Source organism: Homo sapiens, chromosome 2 (assembly GCF_000001405.40).
Source record: "Homo sapiens chromosome 2, GRCh38.p14 Primary Assembly".
NCBI classification, from domain to species: Eukaryota; Metazoa; Chordata; class Mammalia; order Primates; family Hominidae; genus Homo; species Homo sapiens.
Window position 1 is genome coordinate 6494788 of NC_000002.12, and position 9384 is coordinate 6504171.

The 9384-nt window shown below is 41.5% G+C and overlaps 1 long non-coding RNA gene and 1 pseudogene across 3 annotated transcripts; one reads left to right on the forward strand and one right to left on the reverse strand.

Moving 5' to 3' along the window:
* Nucleotides 1-892: 892 nt before the first annotated feature.
* PIK3CDP1 (phosphatidylinositol-4,5-bisphosphate 3-kinase catalytic subunit delta pseudogene 1) lies at nucleotides 893-2026 on the reverse strand (annotated as a pseudogene).
* LINC01824 (long intergenic non-protein coding RNA 1824) lies at nucleotides 1011-9125 on the forward strand. Of its 3 annotated transcripts, none has more exons than XR_001739265.2 (3): nucleotides 1011-1465; nucleotides 7939-8068; nucleotides 8872-9125. It is a non-coding gene; the product is annotated as a long intergenic non-protein coding RNA 1824 (long non-coding RNA). The 3 variants fall into 3 exon arrangements; XR_001739266.3 differs by having other exon boundaries at nucleotides 1102-1609; XR_001739264.3 differs by lacking the exon at nucleotides 1011-1465 and adding an exon at nucleotides 1955-2024.
* Nucleotides 9126-9384: the final 259 nt, after the last annotated feature.

Sequence of the window (9384 nt, forward strand, 5' to 3'; positions counted from 1 at the left end):
TTTCAGAGGCGGCTCACAGATAACGGCAGAGTGAGCCAGGAACGGTGGGTCACGCCTGAAATCCCAGCACTTTGGGAGACTGAGGTGGGTGGATCACCTGAGGTCAGGAGTTCGAGACCAGCCTGGCCAACATGGTAAAACCCCGTCTCTACTAAAAATACAATAATTAGCTGGGCGTGGTGGTGCACTCCTGTAATCCCAGCTACCCAGGAGGCTGAGGCAGGAAACTCACTTGAACCCGGGGGGTGGAGGTTGCAGGGAGCCAAGATCACGCCACTGCACTCCAGCCTGGGCAACAGAGTGAGGCTTTGTCTCAAAAAAAAAAAAAAAAAAAATTGAGATAATGGCAGTGTTCGCCTCTGACCAGCTTCATGCATGACCAGGGTGAGCTCCATGAGGCCCAGGTCTCTTTAACATGCCCTGAGGACCAGCACATATACTGCTTTATGGGGCTGGGCCCGATCTCTCCAGCCGTAGAGGTTTGGTGAGTCGTCTATTATTTTCTTACCTGCAAACAAAATCACTTTACAATAGACAGAGGCGAGGGAATTCTTGTACCCAAGACCCACTTGAAAAGTGGAGAGCAAGCATCCCTGAATCTAGAGGGTACCCTGGCCCCCTCGGGGAGCTGCCAGAACTCAGTCTAGAGAGGATGCACAAGGTGGGTCGCTCGAGCCGATGAGGATCGGGGCGTCCTGTCGGACAGTAGGCACCAGGTGACCGCCAAGTGCTTGGACCCAGGCAGTCTGGCCTGGGAAGAAGGTCCCCGGGGAGCAGAACAGTCTTTGCTGGGCCCAGATCCACCGGCTGGAAGACTTGGGGTGACCCTCCTCAGCCAAGAGCAAGGTGCAGCCTCGAGCAGCCCAGCACCGCCGCTGCGCGAAGGAGGCATTTCCGTTTATGGCTGTTTAGCTCCTTAAACATTTCAAGTCATACAGAAATAACTAGTGTAAAAAAAAAAAAAGGTGGCTGTGTAGGTTCTTTCCCGTGAGGTGCAGGTCAGGCTCTTCAGCCCCTTTAGGACCACCAACGTGCCTGGTCCCCACGACTCGCGGCTGCCTCCTCTCGGGCCGGGGCAGGGAGGAGCCGCTACTGCCGGTTATCTTCGGACACGTTGTGGGCCAGCCAGTTCACTCGGTTTCCAGCTCTCGCGGAGGGCTTCGTTAAACTTCACTCGGAAGTGCTTCGTTAAACTTCACTCGGAAGTGCTTCGTTAAACTTCACTCGGAAGTGCTTCAGCGCCTCCTCTGTTTTCCCCGGTGCCAGGGAGTCCTTGAGATACCGGATGTCTTTGGAGCAGCTGAGCTCAGGCAGGCCTGCTGCCTGCATCAGGGCAAAGAGGTGGAGGAAGAGAAGCCCGTGGCGCCGCAGGATGGTGTTAGGCCCTTTCACAGTAGCCCCGGAACCTTTCAAATTTCTCATATTATTAGTCTTCCCCTGCTCAATCACATGGACAAAGTCATAGGTGAGGATGAATGGGACACGCTGACGGTTGATTCCAAACGTGGTCTTGAAATTCCCCCAGAAAGTGGCAAAAATCAATGTGGAACAGCTGCCCACTCGCTCGGATCATGATGTTGTCGCTGTGCCGATCACCGATGCCCAGCACGTACGTGGCCACACAGTAGCCAGCACAGGAGAGGGTGAACTCTTCGTTGCCTCCATCCATGTTGCGGTTGTTGAGTTGGATGTTGGCGATGGTGTCTGGGTGGAGTAGCACCTCAACGACGCCTGTGTGGTCCCCAGTGGGGAGGCAGCCTTAGGGGGTCATCCTCAGGTCCAGCCCCTGCTGCTTCCACAGGACGTCCATGAGCCGGATCGTCTGCATGGTCAGCATGTCCTGCCAGAGGTCATCATCCCTCTTAAGGCTGACGCTCACCCTGCCACCACTGCCTGCCTCCTCATTGCTGTACATGATCCACAGGGGCTTCATCTTGGAGTCCATGAGGGTGCACTGCTCCACGCAGACTTCAGCCAGCAGGGTGCTGGGGTTGAGTGGGGACTGCAGGTGTAAGTGGCTCTGGGTGAGTGAGTGAGGGTATTACTTAAAATACTCTTTCTATGTTTAGAAAGAGTCAAAAAAAATTTTAAGTTAATCAAGTAAAAATCTTACAGTAAGCTAAGGTTAATTTATAATTGACAAAAGAAAAAAATTCATAAATTTAATGTAGCTCTAATGTCGAGTGTTTATAAAGTCTGCAGGAGTGTACACTAATGTCCTCGGCCTTCACATTCACTCGTCACTCACTCACTCACCCAGAGCAACTTCCAGTCCTGCAAGCTCCATTCATGGTTAAGTGCTCTATACAGGTACACCCTTTCAAAAATATTTTATACTATATTTTATTGTACCTTTTCTATGATTAGATATACAAATATTTACCATTGTGTTTCAATTGCCTAAACTACCCATTACAGCAACGCATGCTACAGGTTTATAGCTTAGAGCAATAGGCCATACCATATATCCAGCTGTGTAGTCAGCTGTACTGTCCAGGTCTATGCCAGGACACTCTGTGATGTTTGTACAAGGACAAAAGTGCCTAAGACCTCATGTCTCAGAACATATTCCCATCACTAAGTGATGAATGACTATGATTAAAATCATTAATGGTATACAAGTAATCAGTAAGGCATAATAAGTGTATTACATTTTTATAAGTAATTATTAAACATAAATAATTAACTTTCATTGCAAAGTTATCTCTTATTGAGATAATATTGGGTTGGGGAACAATTACGGTGCTTTGATTAAAGGAACTAATAAATCATATTTTGTTAGGTTCTTCTCGGGGTTTACCTCCTCGGGGATCAGATTTGCTATGCATGAGACTCATGCTCTTCTCAAATGTGAAGAGTTGATTATGAAAAGGGAAGTTCAAAGGTAGTCTCCCTCTCAGGTCCCTTTTTGGGCCCATCAACGTTAGGAAATAGTAATATGGAAGTCGAAGTTTTAGAAATTAATTCCCTTACGCCATCATGCATATCCCCTGCAAAGTCCTCCACACATACACCCCGGAATGCAGAAATCTGCAAGGGAGAGACTATCTGAGGGAAGGTTTGTCCTAATTTCTCTGGGAGAAGAGGCCAAGGGGCAATTCTGAAATCTGAGCTGGGAAAGGCTTTAGAGTCCCAGAAGGTCAACCAAAAAATCTCTCATGTAAGCACTCCAGGGGCAAGGGTGAGGTCGGAAAAGCCAGCATAAAGATGGTTTACCAAAAGATGGTAGAACAAGAGGCAAAAACAGGGACCAAAAACACAAGATGTAACTGGGAAAGTAGTTAGATGGAACGAGTTCATGAGGAACAGCAGGGTGGGGAGGCAGGTGAACAGGTGTTTCCCAGGGAGTCAGCCCTTCACACAGACAGAGACATGAGCCAGCCACCATCTGCGCCAGAGTCTGAAATCGTACTTCCAGTTCAGCCTTAGTCTGGGCAATGCCAAACCGGAGTTTAGAAGGTACAACCCAATAATTTAAGGGAAGATGTCATGATGGCTAATTTCCACGTCAGCTTGGCCAGGCGATGGTGTCTCCTTGTTTGGCCAAACACTGATCCAGTTATTGCTGTGATGGTATTTCTTAGATGCAATTAACACTGAAATCAGTAGATGTTGAGTAAAGTGGATCACCCTCCGTAATGCAAATGGGCCTCATTCGATCAGTTGAGGACCTTAAGAGCAAAGGATGAGGTTTCTCATAGAAGAAAAAATTCATCTTAAGGCTATAAAGTAAAACCTGTACCACAGTTTCAAGCCTTCAGACTTGAGCTGCAACATCAACCCTTGCCTAAATCCCCAGCCTGCCAGCCTGCCCTATACATTTCAGGCTTGTCACTCCCACAATTGGGTGAGCCAATTCCTGAAATCTCTTTCTCTCTGATTCTCTGTCTCTCTCCATAAATACATATATATATATATATATATACACACACACACACATACATATATATACACATATATATATACATACATATATATACACATATATATATACACACACATATATATATATACACACACACACACATCTATATCTATACAAATACATACATACACTATTTTCTGGTGACCACTGAGTAACGCAGACATCTTGAATTGGGATGCCTGATTCTAAACCATTTGCCATATGCGAATGCTATGACTGGGCAAGTCAATGGATTTCTCTAAGCCTCACTTTCTCACCTCAAAATAGGAATACTGCTGACACCCATCGCACTGTATCGTTGTAAAGGATCAGTGAGATCATACACATACAAGTCTTGGCACATAGGAAGTAGTTGGCGTATGGAAGAATTTCATATCCTCTTTCCTCCCTGTACACAAAATTAGCACAGCCTCCTGCTGCCCCACGGCATTCCTTGGATTGGCTCTTGGTGCATTTTGTGGAACATCATGACACTTGCATGTTTAATTCCATCATCTCAACTAGGGATAATGTTAGTATGTTTCCATGAAAAAACTACATGGCTTCACAAAACAAAATAGTAATGATAACAAAAAAACTGTTAAAATAAATATGATGCATTATTTCCAGCTTTTCATTAGTATTCATTTGCAACTTGTTCATTCATTTGTCACGTGCTAGCACAGAGAAGTAGTAGCAGGTGCCATGATTAAAAATATACGATGAGAGGAAAACTAGAAGTGAGACATTTTCTCCATTCATTAAATTTATTTCTGCCAGTGGGAAGAAGAAATCACAGCTACTTAATGTAAGCTGTAGACACCCCTGTTTAGCTCATGCTGGGAAGAAGGCTAAGAACCATTGTCCTGCCCCATAAAACACCACTTCATCCAAGAAGGCTTTCCTAATAGACGAGGCTGCTCTTCCTGATACACACAGCTTTCTCTTCATAGTGCTTATCGCACCTGCAGTAACATAATTCTGTGCATAATTATTTCTTTGATGTTTATCTTCCCCACTAGAATATGAGCTCCACATCCTTTCCCATCCTTTCACTGAAGGAGTTTCATGATGTGGCTGAGTGCTCAATATATACTTTACAATGAAATAAATCACATGTCGATTGTTTAACTTGACTTCCAAATCACTGCCAATTTCATCTAATCACACATGATTCCCTACACACGGCACCCTTGCTCCATCTCCATGAATTCCATCAGAAACTCTGTCTGCACTCCAATTTTCCTATGACACCTCCCATCTTGCCCCTACACCTCACTGAACTGTCAGTGTGAATGCCACAGCCCTTTATTGCTCTTAGTGAGTAGACATTCCCCTCAGATCCAGTTATCTTACCTGATCCTTGCTTCCTGTAGACAAAATTCCCTGACTCCAACAGCTGCCCAGCTTGGACCTCTTCCCATAAATTATAGCCAGACGCCTCTGATATCCAGCCTCCAGTGGAAAGAGAACTGGGCTTGGAGTTCTCATTTGAATATCTATTCCACTTTTTTGATCTTGGAAGAGTCTCTTAATCTCTCTGAGCCTCAGTTTCCTCAACTGGACATCAGAGATAATAACAGATAACTCTTATTAGCCGTTGTTCTGCAGAGAAACAGAACCAATGGGCTGTGTATGTGTGTATACATATAGACATTTACATATACATATGCATGCACATACACATATACATACACATGCACATACACACACACATACATACACATGCAGACATACATATATACGTGCACATACACAGATACACATGCACATATGCATACACGTACACAAATACATACATATACACATGCACATATACATATACATATACTTATATATATACATATGCACATAGACATACATATATGCATGCACTTGCACATATATATGCACATACACAAGCACATACACATCCATACACACATGTACATCCACATCCACATGTATATACTACACATGCACATATACCTCCACATACACATATACATACACATGTGGATACACATACACATATGTACACATACACAAATATGTGCAAATATACATAAAATGCACATATACATACACATGCACATGTAATGTATGCACGCACATACACATATACATACACACATATAAATATGCATGTATGCATACATACATATACACATATACATATAGATACACATATACATATATACACATATACACACACTTATACATACACATATACATATACGCACACATAAATATATAGATACATATAAATACACTTGTATAGTCACATACACATGCACATATACATACACATAGACATACACATACACATAAATTTATCTTAAAGAACTGGCTTACGTGGTTTTGGGGGCTGCAAGTTTGAAATCTGCAGAGCAGGCCGGCAGGCTGGAGATTCTGGGAGGAGGCGTTGTTACAGCTCAAATCAAAAGAGAGTCTAGAGGCAGAATTCCCTCTTCCTCGGAAGACCTTCATCTTTTTCTCTAAGGTCAGGTGATTCAAAGAGGCCCACTCAAGTTACAGACAATAATCTGCTTTATTCAAGGTCTACTGATTTAAGTATTAATTTCATTTGAAAAAATACCTTCACAGAAATATCTACACTGCTGTTTAACCAAATATCTGGGCACCACAGCCTAGCCAAATTGACACATGAAACTAACAAACACAAGAACTCATCACATGATTGTGAAAACAAAACTATATGGTCTAAGAAAAAGTGCACATGGTATGCTCTCAATTCCTGACATACCTTCACTTCTTTCTCCATATTCACTAGGTCCCTGGGTTTGTCACTATTAGTCACTCCTGGATGGAACATGGGGAGAAAAATTTTAGTGGAGTTTGAACAAAACTGAAAAAGTTTTGCTTGATCTATTATAATCATATAAACACAAACTTTCACATACTCTGGTCAAGACCTATTTTCTACAAGAAGTGCTCTTATGAAATATTCAATTGACACATACATAACTTTAGTTTGTCCAGTGTTTTTCTATATTTATACCATATATACTGCAGATATGAGAGGCACTTAACCACATAATATTCTAAAGCTAGGATACAACACAATCCATTTCTTCCATATCGGATGGCTAAAGTCAACATGTCCAGAATCTACCCATAGTTTCACTAAAATTGCTATAAGCACATATGTACCTTGAGTCAGAATTAGGAATGCAAATGGTGGTCTTTTTTTTTTTTTTTTTTTTACACATGACTGTTGCTAACTTCAATTAAGTAAAATAGACTTGGTGTAATTTTCCCAGACCTGCAAATTAAAGCCTGCTGAAACCTAGCAACAATGTATGAAAAGGGACTTTTATTTTGTCAAATGTCACTTGGCTGTCATTAGACATGCTTATACTCCCCTGTGTGTAAATCCATGTCATGAGGTAGATTTTTTTGAAATAGCAAAAATATGAGTAGTATGAGCTCTTAGTGGTCTATGTGCTTGGTTATTCATCCTTTTCTGGGGCTTGGCTATTTGGGTCTTGGAAGATTTTCTGGGTTTTTATGTCAGAAAAGAAAATTTTTCAAGCTTCCACTGTAAAATGTGGTAGAATTATATATGTTGGCGTCTATTCATGTGCTTTGCAGCACTGTCAACCATTACAAATTCACCGGTGTTTAACTCCCTGTAGGTGTCCTTAAAGTACAGGATTGAATTATGATAGAAATGGATGGTCATTGAAATATGGAATAATCAAATAAGAGAATAGCAAAGTAATCCCTCAAAAGGAGTAGGGTGAAATGAGAAGGAAGGACTAAAGTTTGCTGTTGACATTTTTTTCACTATGGTTTATCATATTAATCCCTTGGCAATGAGACTCCTGAAGGTCTTACTTAAATTTTGCTATATTTAAATAGTGCCTTCTGCCCCTGACCTAGTCTCAAGTTGTTTCAACCAGAAACAAAAACCTGTTTCAAGGAAAAATTTTATATCTGATTACCTGAACTTAAAGGCAGATACTATTTGTTGATTCAGAAAGTGGTGTTAAAATCATCGGTGTTTATGCTCTTTAATTCTTTTTTTACAGTGTGAAACTACAACTGTGTTTATAAGGAGGATGCCACTGGAAATGAATTCTGCTCAAAGAATGAACTCTCTACACACATCATCTTTCTCTCACAGACATCATACCACCTCAAGCACTGCAGCCTCAAAAGGTTAGGCTGATACCTGATGAGAAGCGGAATTATGCAACTTCAGCAATGATCATTGCCAAGTACATTATGTGTATGGGTTAAAAATATATGCCATGGTACAGAAAAAAATATATATTGCATGATCTCACTTATATGTGGAATCAAAAAAACCAAATGTATAGAGATAGAGAACAAAGCAGTGGTTACCAGAGGTGATGATGTTTGGGAGTGGGAGAAGGAAACTGGCGGGGTAGGTCAGGGGATAGAAAGTAGCAAATATGAAGGATGAACAAGGCTGGAGACCTACAGCCCAACATACCACTACAAGTAATAAACTCGAGCTGTATTTGGGATTCATGCTGAATGGCTAGATTTTAGCTGCTCTTGCCACACAAAGAAAAAAATGAATAACTAGGAGAGATGACAGATATGTTAATCTGTTTCACTGTAGTATACTTTTTTTACTATTTATACATATTCCATAGCATTATGTTGCATACCTTAAGTATATATAATAAAGTTTATTTTCTTAAAAAGCATATGTCATAAACTTTGATCATCTAGGGAGTTTTGAGGCCTTCCTATTTCATATTAGGAAACACACACACACACACACACACACACACACAACATACAAATCAGCATATTATTTCTAGCATTAATTGCCTAAGGTTTAAGGTGTTGAGGACAAATGACTTCTTAAAAACAAGCCCTCACCCCACATGCTGAGATTATTACCTACGTCTCCTATATTTATCAACTGCAAAAGAGAAAAGTGGCCAATGAATGCTGAAAGTAAAGGCTTTGTTTTCTTATCTATGCAGGGGAAATTCCTGAGTGATTCTTCTTGAAGCTTAAATTCTGTGGGATTTTTATGGTGGAAAACTTAGGAGAGGAACCAGACAGCCCATCTAGGAGCTGATACTCTTCTAGTGAAGACCACCCTTGCAGGAAAGCATCTGTCCTCCCAGAATCCGGATGTTAGGTTTGAGAATTTACTAATGTGTGACTTCTCTGAAACAATTTATTTAGGAAAAAAGGTTGAATAAATATATACTCAATAAAAGTATTGCAAAAATTAAATAAATCACATAGGTAAAGGTTGTCTAAATGGGAAATTCCTTCAGACAAACAGGGATTTTTAATTGTGACCACCATTGTGTTTGTTATCCATTGCCACAGTCATCTGGGACAGAATGCAATCACAAACTCCTTACTGACTTAAGAAAACAAGCATTTACTTAATCCAAACATAGGTCTGAGGGAGGCCGAGCCATTTTTCTGCTCTCAGCTGGGCTCACTCATGAATCTGCAGCTACCAATGTGATCCAGGCAGC